At 38.9% G+C, this 17066-nt stretch overlaps 1 long non-coding RNA gene across 1 annotated transcript, besides 3 other annotated features; it reads left to right on the top strand.

The window, feature by feature from the left end:
• Positions 3059-3627: an enhancer, noted in NCBI's record as "H3K27ac hESC enhancer chr7:87556085-87556653 (GRCh37/hg19 assembly coordinates)". NCBI's record gives its function as "activates a minimal SCP1, AML or CMV promoter by ChIP-STARR-seq in naive H9 embryonic stem cells {active_cell/tissue: H9 hESC(naive)}" and the evidence as "EXISTENCE:reporter gene assay evidence [ECO:0000049][PMID:30033119]".
• Positions 3059-3747: a biological region, named in NCBI's record as "H3K27ac hESC enhancer GRCh37_chr7:87556085-87556653".
• Positions 3288-3747: an enhancer, noted in NCBI's record as "active region_26235". NCBI's record gives its function as "activates an Ori minimal core promoter by ATAC-STARR-seq in GM12878 lymphoblastoid cells {active_cell/tissue: GM12878}" and the evidence as "EXISTENCE:reporter gene assay evidence [ECO:0000049][PMID:35858748]".
• On the top strand, positions 3665-16685 carry LOC124901690 (uncharacterized). Its single transcript, XR_007060414.1, has 2 exons — positions 3665-3826; positions 16404-16685. It is a non-coding gene; the product is annotated as an uncharacterized LOC124901690 (long non-coding RNA).
• Positions 16686-17066: the final 381 nt, after the last annotated feature.

Below are 17066 nucleotides of genomic sequence, written 5' to 3'. Positions count from 1 at the left end.
GATTTAGGGAGGATTCTCTCTATCTTTTGGAATAGTGTCAATAGGATTGGTACCATTTCTTCTTTGAATGTCTGATAGAATTAAGTTGTGAATCCATCTGTTCCTGGACTTTTTTTTGCTGGTTATTTTTCTATTACCATTTCAATCTCATTGTTTGTTATTGGTCTGTTCAGAGATTCTATGTCTTCCTGGTTTAATCTTGAAGGACTGTATATTTCCACAAATTTATCCATCCATCTCCTCTTGGTTTTCTAGTTTATGCACATAAAGGTGTTTATAGCAGCCTCAATAATCCTTTGTATTTCTGTGTTATCAGTTGTAATATCTCCCATTTCGTTTCCAGTTGAGCTTATTTGGATCTTCTCTCTTCTTTTCTTGGTTAATCTCACTAACGGTCTATCAATTTTATTTATCTTTCCAAAGAACCAGCTTTTTGTTTCATTAATCTTTTGTACTTTTGTTTGTTTGTTTTAATTTCATTTAGTTCTGCTCTGATCTTGGTTATTTCTTTTCTTCTGCTGGGTTTGGGTTTAGATTTTTCTTGTTTCTCCAGCTCCATGAGGTGTGACCTTAGATTGTCTATTTGTACTCTTTCGGACTTTTTGATATAGGCATTTAACGCTATGACCTTTCCTCTTAGCACTGCCTCTGCTGTATCTTAGAGGTTTTGATAGGTTGTGTCACTGTTATTGTTCAGTTCAAAGAATTTTTAAATTTCCATCTTGATTTCATTGTTGACCCAATGATCATTCAGGAGCAGGTTATTGAATTTTCATGTTATTGCATGGTTTTGAGGGTTCCTTTTGGATTGATTTCCAATTTTATTCCACTGTGGTCTGAGAGAGTACTTGATATAATTTCAATTTTCTTAAATTTACTGAGACTTATTTTGTGGCCTATCATAAGGTCTATCTTGGAGAATGTTCTATGTAATGATGAATAGAATGTATATTCTGCAGTTGTTGGGTAGAATGTTCTGTAAAAATCGTTAAGTCCATTTGTTGTAGGGTATACTTTAAGTCTATTGTTTCTTTTTTGACTTTCTGTCTTAATGACCTGTCTAGTGCTGTCAATGGAGTATTAAATTCCCCCACTATTATTGCGTTGCCATCCATCTCGTTTCTTAGGTCTAGTAGTAATTGTTTTATAAATTTGAAGTACCAGTGTTAGGTGCGTGCATATTTAGAATTGTGATATTTTCCTGTTGGACTAGTCCTTTTATCATTGTATAGTGTTCCTCTTTGTCTTTTTTAACTGCTGTTGCTTTAAAGTTTGTTTTGTCCAATGTAAGAATAGCTATTCCTGCTTGCTTTTGGTGTCCATTTGCATGGAATATCTTTTTCTACCCCTTTACCTTAAGTTTATGTGAGTCCCTATGTGTTAGGTGAGTCTCTTGAAGATGGCAGAAACTTGGTGAATTATTATCCATTCTGCCATTCTGTATCATTTAAGTGGAGCATTTAGGCCATTTATATTCAATGTTAGTATTGAGATGCGAGGTACTATTCTATTCATTGTGTTATTTGTTGTTTGAATACTTTCGGTTATTTTTCATTGTGTTATTGTTATATAGGTCCTGTGAGATTTATTCTTTAAGGAGGTTCTATTTTGGTGTATTTTGAGGATTTGTTCAAGATTTTAGTTCCTTTTAGCAGTTCTTGTAGTGCTGTCTTGGTAGTAGCGAATTCTCTCAGCATTTGTTTATCTGGAAAAGACTATATCTTTCCTTCATTTATGAAGCCTTACTTTCACTGCATACAAAATTCTTGGCTGATAATTTTTTTTTTTTTTGAGATGGAGTCTCACTCTGTTGCCCCAGCTGGAGTGCAATGGCATGATCTCGGCTCCTGCAACCTCTGCCTCCCGGGTTCAAGCGATTATCCTGTCTCAGCCTCCCAAGTAGCTGGGATTACAGGCTCGTGCCACCAGGCCTGGCTAATTTTTGTATTTTTAGTAGAGACGGGGTTTCACCATGTTGGTCAGGCTGGTCTCGAACTCCTGACCTCATGACCCACCCACCTCAGCCTCCCAAAGTGCTGGGATTACAGGCGTGAGCCACCACGCCTGGCTGATAATTTTTTTTAAGAAGGCTAAAAATGGGACCCCAGTCCCTTCTAGCTTGTAAGGTTTCTGATGAGAAATCTGCTGTTAATCTGATAGGTTTTCCTTTATATTACCTGATGCTTTTGCCTCAGTTCTTAAGATTCTTTCCTTCATCTTGACTTTAGATAAACTGGTGACCATGTGCCTAGGAAATTATCTTTTTGTGACGAGTTTCCCAGATGTTCTTTGAGCTTCTTGTATTTGGATGTCGAGATCTCTAGCAAGGCCAGGGACACTTTTATTGATTATTCCCTCAAATATATTTTCCAAGCTTTTAGATTTCTCTTCTTCCTTGTGAACACCAATTATTCTTAAGTTTGGACATTTAACATAGTCCCAAACTTCTTGGAGTCTTTGCTCATTTTTTAAAATTCTTTTTTCTTTGTCTTTGATGGATTGGGTTAATTTGAAAGCCTTATCTTCAAGCTCTGAAGTTCTTTCTTCTGCTTGTTTGATTCTATTGATGAGACATTCCAGTGCATTTTGCATTTCTCTAAGTGTGTCCTTGATTTCCAAAAGTTGTGATTATTTTTTATTTATGCTATTTCACTGAAGAATTTTCCTTTATATCCTGTATCATGTTTTTTTTTTTTTCTTTAAGTGGGACTTCACCTTTCTCAGATGCCTCCTTGATTAGCTTAATAATCATCCTTCTAAACTCTTTCTGTCAATTCAGAGATTTCATCTCATTTTGGATCCATTGCTGGTGAGCTGGTATGATTTTCTGGGAATGTTAAAGAACCTGGTTTTTTCATATTACCAGAATTGTTTTCCTGGTCCTTCTCATTTGGGCAGACTATGTCAGAGGGAAGCTCTTAGGTTCAAGGGCTGCTGTTCAGAATATTTTGTCCCACACTGTGCTCCCTTGATGTGGTGTTCTCCCCCTTCCCCTAGGAATGGGGCTTCCTGAGAGCTGAACTGTAGTGATTGTTTTTGTCCGTCTGGGTCTAGCCACCCTGCAGAGCTCCCAGGCTCCAGGCTGGTACTGGGGAGTGTCTGCAAAGAGTCCTGTGATGTGATCCAGCTTCAGGTCTTGCAGCCATGGATACCAGCACTTGCTTTGGTGGAGGTAGCAGGGGAGTGAAGTGGACCCTGTGAGGGTCCTTGGTTGTGTTTTTGTTTAGTGTACTGGTTTTGTGTTGGTTGGCCTCGAGCCAGGAGGTGGCGCTTTCAAGAGCACATCAGCTGCAGTCCTACAGGGAAGATGCAAACTTTGCCCTAGGGACACCTGGTTAAGTATTCAGGTTTCACAGGCAGTGGGCAGGGCCATCATGCTCTCAAGAGATTATGACCTTTGTCTTTAGCTGCCAGGGAGGGTAGAGAAAGACCACCAGGTAGGTGCAAGGATAGGCATGTCTGAGCTCAGTCTCTTCTTGGTTGGGGCTTGCTGTGGCTGCTGTGGGGTATTGGGGGTGTGGTTCCCAGTCCATAAAGTTATATTACCAGGGGGATTCTGGCTGCCTCTGCTGAGTCATACAGGTCACCGGGGAAGTAGGGGAAAACCAGCAATCACAGACCTCACCCTGCTCCCACACAGCCTGCAGTCCTAAAGGCTGGTTTCACTCCCACCAGGCCCCACAACAGCACTGTCTATTTCCAGGCCGCCAGTGACCAGGGCTGACAACTTGCCCAGACCACAAGACTCCCTGTTGAGAAAGCAAGCGGACTCACAGTTTTTCAGTGTCTCAGGGAGCCTGCAGCAGTGATCCAGTTCCTTCAAAAGGTCTGTGGATTCTCTTGGCTTTCCTGGTATGTTCCTGTGGTAGTTCTTGGAGCAAAAGTTCACAATGTGAGTCTCCACACACTGTTGTGTCTGTCTGAGCGGGAGCTACACGCTAGTCCTGTCTCCTATCCACCATACTAATCTCTCAGAATTCTACTTGTGGCTATTTTAATTTAATTTAATTTAATTTAAAATTCAGATCCTCAACCAAACTAGCTGCATTTCAAGTGCCGAACCTGTAGCTAGTAACTACTATATTGGACAGCTAAGATGTAGAACATTTCTATCATGCAGAAAAGTTCTATTGGAAAGACAGCACTGGGTTCCAGAGTTTAAACGACTTGCCCCCAGACCCCATGGCGAGTAATAAAGTACCCTAGGACCTAAATCTCCTGCTTTCAGGTCTGAGTTTCTTTCCACAATATCTCCCTGGTTGAAATCTGGGTTTGTGTAACCTTCACCTTGATCCTGATTCTGGTTTGGTAAAACATAACAAAAAATTTTCTACATGATGCTCTTTGGAGGCGTTTTACTCATTCCCTATTTTCTTTTTAACCCCTGCCTCATGTGACATGGCTTCAGGTTCCTTCATCATCAATATGATCTCAAAATATACTGTAGTGTGTCAATGTCCCAGCTAAAGTGTGGTGTCCAGAATTAATGACGTAGCTTAGATATTGTTTCACAAGCAAACAATAGAGAGGAACTTTTTTCTTCCTTGTCCTAAATTCTTGCCTAAGAGGACATTCTATCATATTTTTGGTAAATAAATTTCATTGAGCTTACTGTCATTACAAAAAAAATTCCCCAAATCTTCAAAATGAGCGAAACAGTTAAGAATTGTTCAGGAAATTGTAGCCTGAACAAGATTTCAGTAGTATACAACAGACTTTAATGCAGTACGTTCTGTGATAGTTACAGTCAAAGAGAATTAGAACCCTAGGACCTGGAAAAGTTCTTCACTTTCCTTTGCTATATGATGGAGCCAAATTCTTTACTCAGTTCTCTTCGTTGGAAAATGAACTTGATCAGATTTTATAATGATCGTGCTGCTATACATATACTCTAATTTTTAATTTTTTAAGATGTTTGAAATGTTTAAAATAATTGCATAGGCCAAACACATCATCTTGATGTAATAAAAATTAAAATAGGTTTTTTTTTTCTTTAGGAGGCTGTCTTAGCTCAGGCTACCATGTCAAAAATATCATAGACTCAGTTACTTAAACAATAAACATTGTTTCTTATAGTTCTGGAGGCTGGGAAGTACAAATTGAAGGCCGTGGCAAATCTAGTATCTGGTGAGGACCAACTCCTAGCTTGTGGACAGCAACCTTCTTGCTGTATTCTCACATGGCCCAGAGTGCTAGTTCTCTCCCTATTCTTATAAAGACACTAATTCCATCATATAGGCTAGACCCTCATGACCTAATTACTTTCCAAAGGCCCTACCTTCAAATACCACCACATTAGGGCCTCAACATAGGAATTTGGAGGCAGGGGGACAAAAACATTCACATGTTAGCAGAGGTTAAGAAGATATCTTTTGTCAAATTTGTAAGTCTAACTTGTTAGGTGCTTGATATATCTGAGAAAACAAGTATAAATTATAAAGTTTTTTCCTCAGTTATATATAGAGTGTTTAATGTTGGGTAAAATTATTCTGTCAAATTTATGAATTAACTGAATATTAATCAAAGAACAGTGAAAGTAATGATCTTATTTTTATTTTAACAAAAAGTAAGATTGTGAACTAAGCCTAAAGACTTAAGGAAAACTACATTTTAAATTTTATGAGTTACCAAAATAGAATATCAATGAAATAAAAGAACGGCAAGTATTTCTTTTGTGAATTACTGCTTTCCTCTCTGTCTGTAATTTTCTTTTTTTGGTATGTCTGGTCTGTAGTTTTCTTTTTTTGTTATGTCCTTCCCTGGTTTTGGTATTAGGGTGATACTGGCATAAAGAATGATGTAGGGAGGATTCCCTCTTTCTTTCTTTTTTGAAATCGTTTCAGTAAGATTGGTACCATTTCTTTTTTTATTTTAGATAATTTTTTTGAGACAGTCTTGCTCTGTCGCCCAAACTGGAGTGCAGTGGTGTGATCTCAGCTTCCTGCAACCTCCGCCTACCAGATTCAAGCAATTCTCCTGCCTCAGCCTCTCGAGTAGGCAGGACCACAGGGATGTGCCACCATGCCCAGCTAAGTTTTTGTATTTTAGAGACGGACTTTCACCATGTTGGCCGCCCACCTCAGCCTCCCAAAGTGCTGGGATTACAGGCGTGAGCCACCATGTCCTGCCTAATTTTTTTGTATTTTTAGTAGAGATGGGGTTTCACCATGCTGGCTAGGCTAGTCTGAAACTCCTGACCTCATGATCCGCTCGCCTCGGCCTCTCAAAGTGTTGGGATTACAGGCATGAGCCACTGCAGCCAGCCGATTGGTACCATTTCTTCTTTGAATGTCTGATAGAATTCAGCTGTGAATCCACCTGGTCCTGGATCTTTTTTCGTTGGCTATTTTTAAAAATTACTGTTTCAATCTCACTACTTGTTGTTGGTCTGTTCAGAGTTTCTATTTCTTCCTGATTTAATCTAGTAAGGTTGTATATTTCCAGGACTATCCATCTCCTCTAGATTTTCCAGTTTGTGCATGTGAAGGTATTCATAGCAGCCTTGAATGATCTTTTGTATTTCTGTGATATCAGTTGTAATATCTCCCATTTCATTTCTAATTGAGCTTATTTGGATCTTCTCTCTTCTTGGTTAATCTCGCTAATGGTCTATCAGTTTTGTTTATCTTTTCAAAGAACAAGCTTTTTGTTTCATTTATCTTTTGTATTTTTTTGTTTAATTTCATTTAGTTGTGCTCTGATCTTGGTTATTTCTTTTTTCTGCTGGGTTTGAGTTTAGTTTTTTCTTATTTCTCTAGTTCTTTGAGATGTGACCTTAGATTGTCAATTGGTGCTCTTTCAGACTTTTTGATGTAGGCATTTAATGCTGTGAACTTTCCTCTTAGCACCACTTTTTGCTGCATCCCAGAGGTTTTGATAAGTTATGTCACTATTATTGTTCAGTTCAAATAATTTTTTATTTCCATCTTGATCTCATTGTTGACTCAAAGATCATTCAAGAGCAGATTATTTAATTTTCTTTTATTTGTATAGTTTTAAGGGTTCCTTCTGTAGTTGATTTACAGTTTTATTCTACTGTGATCTAAGAGGATAATTGTTGTAATTTCAATTTTCTTAAATTTACTGAGACTTGTTTTGTGACCTATTTGTGGTCCCTCCATATGTTCTGTCTTGGAGAATGTTCCATGTGCTGATGAATAGAAAGTATATTCTTGGCTGGGTGTGGTGGCTCATGCCTGTAATCCCAGCCAAAGCGGGAGGTTCACCTGAGGTCAGGAGTCTCTACTAAAAATACAAAAATAGCCAGGTGTAGTGGCACATGCCTGTAGTCCCAGTTACTCAGGAGGCTAAGGCAGGAGAATCGCTTGAACCCAGGAAGCAGAGGTTGCAGTGAGCTGAGCTTGTGCCACTGCAGTCCAGCCTAAGCAACAGAGTGAGACGCCGTCTCAAAAAAAAAAAAAAAAGAAAGAAAAAATAGAACGTATATTCTGCAGTTGTTGGGTAGAATGTTCTGTAAATATCTGTTAAGTCCATTTGTTTTAGGGCGTAGTTTAAGTCTATTGTTTCTTTGTTGACTTTCTGTCTTGATGAACTGTCTAGTACTGTCAGTGGCGTATTGAAGTACCCACCATTATTGTGTTGCTATCTCATTTCGTAGGTCTAGTAGTAATTGTCTTATGAATTTGAGATCTCCAGTGTTAGGTGCATATATATTTAGGATTGTGCTAATTTTCTGTTGGAATGATCCTTTCATCATTATATAATGTCCCTCTTTGTCTTTTTTTTTTTTAACTGTTGTTTTAAAGTCTGTTTTGACTGATACCAGAATAGCTATTCCTGCTTGCTTTTGGTTTCCATTTGCATGGAATATCTTTTTCTGTCCCTTTCCCTTAAGTTTATGTGAGTCTTTATGTGTCAGTTGAGTCTCCTGAAGACAGCACTTACTTGGTTAGTGAATTTTTATCCATTCTGCCATTCTGTATTATTTAAGTGGAACATTTAGGCCATTTACATTTAACATTAGTATTGTGAGGTGAGGTATTGTTCTGTTTATCATGCTAGTTGTTGCCTAAATACCTGGTTATTTTTCACTGTGGTATTGTTTCACAGGCCCTGTGAGATTTATGCTTTCAGAAGGTTCTATTTTGGTGTATTTCAAAGATTTGTTTCAAGATTTAGAGTTCCTTCTACCATTTCTTGTAGTGCTGGCTTGGAAATGGCAGATTCTCTCATCATTTGTTTGTCTGAAAAAGACTTTATCTCTCCTGCATTTATGAAGATTAGTTTTGTTGGATACAAAATTCTTTCTTTTTTTTTGCCTTTGAGACGGAGTCTGGTGGCTCTGTTGCCCAGGCTGGAGTGCAGTGGCATGATCTCAGCTCACTGCAACCTCCACCTCCTGGGTTCAAGTGATTCTCCTGTCTCAGCCTCCTGAGTAGCTGGGATTACAGGTGTGCACAACACCCGGCTAATTTTTTTTTTTTTTGTATTTTTAATAGAGACAGGGTTTCACCATGTTGCCCAGGCTGGTCTTGAACTCCTGACTTCAGGTGATCTGCCTGCTTCGGCCTCCCAAAGTGCTGGGATTACAGGAGTGAGCCACCGCACCCCGCCAGATACAAAATTCTTGACTGACAATTATTTTGTTTAAAGAGGCTAAAGATAGGACCCAAATCCCTTCTGGCTTGTAAGGTTTCAGCTGTTAATCTGATAGGTTTTCCTTTGTAGGTTACCTGATGCTTTTGCCTCATAGCTCTTAAGATTCTTTCCTTTAGCTTGACTTCAGATAACCTGACGGTATGTGCCTAGGCAATGATCTTTTTGTGATGAATTTCCCAGGTGTTCTTTGAGCTTCTTTATTTGGATGTTTAGATCTCTAGTGAGGCCAGGGAAGTTTTCCCTGATTATTCCCTCAAATAAATTTTCCAAACATTTAGATTCTATTCTTCCTCAGGAACACCAATTATTCTTGGTCATTTAACATAATCCCAAATTTCTTGGCGGCTTTGTTAATTTTTTAAATTCTTTTTTCTTTGTCTTTGTCTGATTTGATTAATTCAAAAGCCTTGTCTTCAAGCTGTGAAGTTTTTTCTTCTACTTGTTCTAGTCTATTGTTGAAACTTTCCAGTGTATTTTGTAAGTGTGTCTTTCATTTCCAGAAGTTGTGGTTGTTTTTTCTTTATGATATCTATTTCTCTGGAGCATTTTTCATCCATATCTTGTATTGTTTTTAAATTTCTTTAAGTTGGTTTTCACCTTTCTCTGGTGTCTCCTTGAGTAGCTTAATGATCAACCTTCTGAATTCTTTACCTGACAATTCAGAGATTTCTTCTTGGTTTGGATCCATTACTGGGGAGCAAGTGTGATATTTTAGGGGTGATATAGAACCCTGTTTTGTCATATTACCAGAATTACTTTTCTGGTTCCCTCTCATTTGGGTATACTATTTCAGTGGAAAAATCTGGAACTCAAGGGCTGCTGTTCAGATTCTTTTGTCTCATGGAATGATCCCTTGACGTAGTGCTCTCCCCTTCCCCTTGGGATGAGGTTTCCTGAGAGCTAAACTGCAGTGATTGTTATTGCTCTTCTGGGTCTAGCCACTCGGCGGGGCTACCAGGCTCTGAGCTGCTGCTGTGGAATGTCTGCAAAGACTCCTGTGATGTCATCCATCTTTGGCTCTCCCAGCTGTGGATATCAGCACCTACTCTGGTGGAGGTGGCGGGGAGTGAAAGTGACTCTGTGAGAATCTTTGGCTGTAGGTATGTTTAGTGTACTGGCTTTCTTGAATGCTGGTTATTCTAGTAGTAAAGTTGTCACGTGGATGGACTCAGGACCTCTGGTTAGCCAGGATGTTTCAGGCAGTGGTATTAGCTGTTGTGTTCTCCTTCTTGGGAGCAGGGTTATTTTGTCATGAGTTGCTGTAATGGCCTGAGTTGATTGGCCTCCAACCAAGAGGTGATGCTTTCAAGAGAGCACCAGCTGCGGTAGTTGTAGGGGAATATAAGCTTGCCGTAAGTTGACCAGGGTAAGTGTTCTGGTTTCTCTGGCAATGGGCAGGGCCATAAAGCTTCCACAAGTTTTTGTCTTTTGTGTGTGGCTACCAGGGCAGGTAGAGAAATATCATCAGGTGGAGGCAGGGTTAGGCGGGTCTGAGCTCAGACTCTCCTTAGGTGGTGCTTGCCATGGCCACTGTGGGGATGGGGGTGTGGTTCTCAGACCGATGGGGTTATGTTCCAGAGGAGATTATGGCTGCCTCGGCTGTGCCATATGGTTCACCAGGGAAGTAGGGGATAGCCAGTAGCAAAAGACCTCACCCAACTCTCACGTTGTTGGCAAGGCTGGTCTTGCCTCTGCGGTGTCCTGCTAACAGGGCCAAGTTTAGTTAGATGCAGGAAGCCTGTGCATGGAACTCAGCCCTTTCCCCATGCTGTAAGCTTCCCAGGTGAGAAAGCAAACTTGACTTTTAGGCCTTGCTCCTCTCCGTCTGCTCACAATGTTGGTGAAGCCTCCTGCACTTGTATCTGCAGCAGTTCCCCATTCACCCCCCGGATTCTGTTCAAGATAGTTCATACCCATTTGAAATTATTACAGAATTTCACTGGAAGCATCTTTCACCCTATGACCCCTCCCTAATTTTGCTGTCTTCCTTGCCTGAGGGCCCCTGCAAAATCCAGTTAGGGATAGTTTCCGTGGGCTCAAGCTGGAGACTGGGTGTGCCTATAAGGCTCTTGCTGCTGCTTCTACTTTTATATTTTACACAGCTCTCTAAATGTGTTTCAGCTCTAGATAAGGTTAAATCTTTCTTCCGTAATCTGGATTTTCATATTCGCCAGTAGGGATATGTGTTCGGAGGCAGGTTTTCCCCTCTCACACTTTGGGAACTCAGTTTTTTGCCTGTCTCGCAGAATTTGCAGTGGCATCAGTTGGGCAATTCAAAAATGAAATTGCAATATAAGAGGCTGAAGGTTAATGTTCTTCCCTAATTAATGTCACTGAGTCTCTTCCTTCTCCTGAAAATATGAAGTTTTCATTGTTTAAAAAATGTTCTTAGAAACTTAAAAAAATCCTATTTGAAATATGAATGTATATTCTGGCCAGAAAGAATGAATGCATATAAATGTGTTTGTATAAAAAGCTAAAATGTTATGGCCTTTATAATTTCTAAGCCAGCAAAACAAATTAAATTATGTTTGTAACAAATAAGTTTTTAAGTATAATCTTGCACATAAAAGATACTTTTTATTTTCTGTATTGCTAAGAACTAGCAGCAATCCATAAATATACTAAGATATGATAATGGTAAAAAGCAAAGATGCTGAAAAGATAACATGTTTAAAGGAAATACAGTTTCTCTGAGATGTGTGTGGGGGTGGGGGTTGAGAATAGGGAAATAGTTTCCTTGGAGTATGTTTGAAGTAGTGTCCTACAGGCCACGTCTTGCCTATTTCATGTATAGATCTTTATCTCTTGTCATGCATTGCTTAATGATGGGGATACATTCTGAGGAATATACCCTTAGGCAACATCATTAATGTAACAATATCATAGAGTGTACTTACACAAACCTAGATGGTATAGCCTACTACACACCTAGGCTACATGGTATAGCCTATTGCTCCTAGGCTGTAAACCTGTTTATCATGTTATTGTACTGAATACTGTAGGCAGTTATAATACATTGGTAAATATTTATGTATCTAAACATAGAAATGGTACAGTAAAAATACAATGTGAAAGATAAAAAATGGTACACCTATATAGGGTACTTACTATGAATGGAGGTTACAGGACTCAAAGTTGCTCTGGGTGAGTCAGTGAGTGAGTGGTGAGTGAATGTGAAGGCCTAGGACATTATTATGTACTACTGTAGACTTTATAAACACTGTACACTTAGGCTGCACTAAACATTAAAAATTTAAGTAATTGTGCTACAAAATTATGGCAGCTATGATGTCAGTAGATGATAGGAATTTTTCAGCTCTATTATAATTTTATGGGATTACCATCATATATGTGGTTCATCATTGAGTGAAACATCATTATGCGGCACATGGCTGTATTTCTATACAATTGAATTAAACTACAAATCAATAACAGAATGATAGCTGGAAAACCTCAAAAATACTTGGATATTATCAACACACTTTTAATTAACATATGGGTTAGAGAAGAAATCTCAAGAGAAATGTTAAAATATTTTGAACTAAATCAAAATGAAAATACAACTTACCAGAATTTTGGAGGTGCAGTGAGTACTTAGAGGGAAATGTATAGCATTGAATGCATATATTAGAAAACAATAAATATTTAAAATAAATAATATGTGTTTACCTTAGGGAACTAGAAAAAGAAGGGCAAATTAAATTCCAAGTAAGCAGCAGAAAAAAATAACCAAAATTAGAACAGAAATCAATTAAATTGAAAATAGGAAATCAAAAGAGAAAATCAATAAAACCAACAACTAGTTTTGGAAAATATCAATAAAATTGCCAAACTTCCAGCCACGTCAACAAAGAAAAGAAAGAGAAGACACAAATTATTAATATCAGAAATGAAAGACAAGCTATGACTATTGATCCCATTGACTTTAAAAGGATAATAAAGAACTATCATAAACAACATTAAGTCTCCAAATTTGATAACCTAGCTGAAATGGACTGATTCCTTGAAAGACATACTATACCAAAGCTTACACAAGGAGAAATAGATAATCGAAATAGGCCTATGTCTATTAAATAAATTGAATCAGGCCGGGCACAGTGGTTCATGCCTGTAATACCAGCACTTTGGGAGGCTGAAACAGGAAGATCACTTGAGGTCAGGAGTTTGAGATCAGCCTGGCCAATATGGTGAAACCCTTTCTCTACTAAAAATACAAAAATTAGCCATGCATGGCGATGGGCACCTGTAATCCCAGCTACTTGGGAGGCTGAGGCAGGAGAATCACTTGAACCCGGGAGACGGAGGTTGCAGTGAGCCGAGATCATGCCACTGGACTCCAGCCTGGGCGACAAGAGTGAAACTCCGTCTCAAAAAGTAAATAAATAAATAAATAATTTATAACTTTCCAAAACGAAAAGCACCAGGCCCAGGTTGTTTCACTAGTGAATTCTACCAATATTTTTAAGAATAAATTATACCAAATTCTTTGTAACCTCTTCCAGGAAATAGAAGCCAAGAGAATATATCCTAACTCATTCTATGTGACCAGCATTACCCTAACACCAAAAACAGAGGAAAACTACAGACAATATGTCTCATCAACATAGATGCAAACTCTTCAATGACATATTAGCAAATTGTACCCAAAAATGTAAGAAAAGAGTGTTAGTCACATGTACCAAGAAGGATTTATTCTAGGTAGGGAAATTTGGTACAACATTTTAATTCCCATTAATATAATCCATCACATCAACAGGCTAAAGAAGAAAGATAATATGATCATATCAATCAGAAAAAGCATTTGACAAAATCCAACCACAATTCATGATAAAAAAAAAAAAAAACCCTCAGCAACTAGAAATGAAGGAGAGATTCCTCAACTTGAAAAAGAACATCTACAAAATGCTGTAGCTGTAAGCTAACATCATACTTAATGGTGAGATGCTAGATAATTTTATGTTAAGATCAGGAACAAGCCAAGGGTGTCTACTCGCACCCTCCTATTCAAGATTGTAAGAAAGGATAGTCTTTTCAGCAAGGGGTGCTGGAACAACTGGACATCTTCATGCAAAAAAATTAATATAGACATAGACCTTACATCTTCCACAAACTTTAACTCAAAATGGACCATGGACCTAAGTGTAAACACAAAACTATAAAACTCCTAGACAATAACATAGAAGAAAATCTAGGTGGCTTTGAGTTTGGTGGTGATTTTTTAGACACAATACCAAGAACATGATCCACAAAAGAAAATACTGATGTTTGACTTCATTAAAATTAAAAACTTCTGCCATGCGAAAGACATCGTTAAAAGAATGAAAAGACAAGCCATAGACTGGAAGAAAACATTTGCATCTGAAAAAGGTCTGGTATCCAAAATATACAAAGAACTCCTCAAACTCAACAATAAGAAAACAATACAATTTTTAAAATGGACAAAAAATCTGAACAGACACGTCACCAAATAAGGTATACACGCAGCAAATAAACATGAAAAGATGTTCAACATCTTATGTCATTAGGGAATGCAAATTAAAACAACAATCAGATACCACTACACACATTAGAATGGCTAAAATCCGAAACAGCAAAACCAAATTCTGGTAAGAATGTGAAGTAACAGGAACTCCAACTCATTGCTAGTGGGAATGTAAAACAGTACAACAACCTTGGAAGACAGTTTGGCAGTTTCTTGCAAAACTAAACATACTTTAACCATATGATACAACAATCATGCCCCTCGGTATTTACTCTGATGAGTCAAAAACTTATGTCCACTCAAAGACCTTCATCTTATATTATTTAGATCTTTCTTCTTTTCTAATATAGGCATATAGTCCAGGCATGGTGGCTCATGCCTGTAATCCTAGCAGTTTGAGAGGCTGAGGCAGGTGGATTGCTTGAGCCCAGGAGCTCAAGACCAGCCTGGACAATATGGTGAAACCCCACCTCTACAAAAAATACAAAAATTAGCCGTGTGTGGTGGTGGGCACCTGTAGTCCTAGCTAGTTAGGAGGCTGAGGTGAGATGATCACCTGAGACCAGTAGGTCAAGGCTGTGGTGAGCCATGATTGTACCACTGCACTCAGCCTGAGTGACAGAGTGAGACCCTGTCTCAAATAAATAACATTAAAGAGGCGGGCATGGTGGTTCACGCCTGTAGTCCCAGCACTTTGGAAGGCCAAGGCAGGTGGATCATCTGGGGTCAGGAGTTCGAGACCAGTCTGACCAACATGGTGAAACCCCCTCTCTACTAAAAATACAAAATTAGCCAGGTGTGGTGGTGCATGCCTGTAATCCCAGCTACTTGGGAGGCTGAGGCAAGAGAATCGCTTGAATCCAGGAGGTGGAGGTTGCAGTGAGCTGAGATCATGCCATTGCACTCCAATCTGGGCAACAAGAGTGAAACTCCATCTCAAAAAAAAAATTAAAAAGATAAAAGATAAAAAATAAAGTAAGCATATAATGCTATAAATTTCCTTCAAACTTTGCTTTAGCTACATTCCAAAAATTTTGTTACGTATTTACTGCAAATTATTTTTAATTTTTCTTCAGACTATGTCTTTGACTCATGTGTTATTTAGAAGTGTGCCATTTTATTTATAACTACCTGGGGCTTTCTAGATATCTATTACTTGTTTCTAGTTTAATTCCACTGTGGTCTGAGAATATATTTTTTATTATTTCTATTCTTTTAAGTGTTGTAAACTTCCTTTTATGACTCAGAATATATCTACTTTGGTGAATGTGGTACTAAATTTTGAGGATACTTGATCAAGGGGATTTGCACACAAGTTAGATAAAGGAAAGTAACTGATTTGGGAGGACTACAAAGACACAGGATTTAACACCCTGAGAAGAATCTCAGGATATACTGTGAACGTGTTGACAGTATATTAGAATTGATGGCTCATGCTCAGAGAAATAAAACTGCCACATTTCCATGACAGATGGTGGAGAAAGAGTGATGGACATATTTGAGTGAATATACTGTATTAAGACTGGGGACTGGACGCGGTGGCTCACACCTGTAATCCCAGCATTTTGGGAGGCCAAGGCAGGCAGATCACTTGAAGTCAGGAGTTCCAGACTAGCCTGGCCAACATGGCGAAATCCATCTCTACTAAAATACAAAAATTAGCCAAGTATGGTGGTGGGTGCCTGTAATCCCAGCTACTCGGGAGGCTGAGGCAGGAGAATCGCTTGAACCTGGGAGGCAGAGGTTGCAGTGAGCCAAGGTTGCACCACAGCACTCCAGCCCAGGTGACAGCACAAAACTCCATCTCCAAAAAAAAAAAAAAAAAAGATCCAAAAACCCACCAGGTCAGTATATTCCATGGAAAGTTCCTGATGGTATGCTACTTACCAAGGCCATAAAGAATGCCCTAGAAGGAAGGCCAACAATAGTACTAAAATATGCAGTTGTGGCTCTCCTCGGTGTGCCAGAACCGATGGCAGGTAAGGCCATTATAGAACTAGGCTCACTAATAGCAGTGAGGTTGATAAGACCTGAAACAATAAAGACCAGATGGTGCCATTCAAGTATCAGAAGGTAAGTGCACATAATTATCATAATAAGTGGCAATGTCGAAGGGGCAGCCAGAGGAGGCCTGAATCCTCTGAAGGTTATGGAGTTGGTTATTAGAACTTAGCATCTTTAGGAGCAAAACGGATGGATAGCCAATAAGGTCATCATTCAATATGTACCATGAGTCAGCCTCAGGAGGCTAAGGGCAATTGCTCCAGTAAAAAGTAATGATCTCTTGTTCTGTTTCCAGATTTAAGTTAATTTTTCAACGTTGAAACCACTGACTAGAGAACAGGCCATGACCCCAGGAGAAAGACCCTGCAACACATTTTAACTGCACATGGTAATTATTTCCTAGTCCTTTCCAAAAGGTACCAATCTCCATTTACTTGGGTAACTGTGCACTGGGAAAAGGGGACTACTCAGATATTTGTTAGACACAAGGTCTGAATTGACATTGATACCTGGGACCCAAAGCACCTATTGTAGAGGGGGCATATGAAAGCCATGTAATAAATGGAGTCCTGGCTAAGGTTTGGCTGATAGTGAGTTATTTGTCTGATAATGTGTCATTTGTCCAGTCCCTGAATATATTATTAGAAGAGAAATACTTATTACTTCATACACTCCCTCATACTGTGCCCCTGGTCTACAAAGTAAGACCTATATATTGGAAAAGACCAAGTGGGAACCTTGAAACTGCTTCTACCCTAAACTGCCAGAATTTATTATTCTAGCCAGAATAATAAATCAAAAACAATATCTTAACTGGGTGGTGTTGGTGGAGGAAATTAGTGCCACTGTTAAATGTTTAAAAGATACAGGAATGGTTGATTCCCACTATATGCATATGGATTATAAAAAATGAGTAGACCACCAGAAGCTGCACTAAGTAGTAGTCTCAATTTCAGTT

Source organism: Homo sapiens, chromosome 7 (genome assembly GCF_000001405.40).
Source record: "Homo sapiens chromosome 7, GRCh38.p14 Primary Assembly".
Classification (NCBI taxonomy): Eukaryota; Metazoa; Chordata; class Mammalia; order Primates; family Hominidae; genus Homo; species Homo sapiens.
This window is presented reverse-complemented; position numbering and strand designations above follow the sequence as displayed.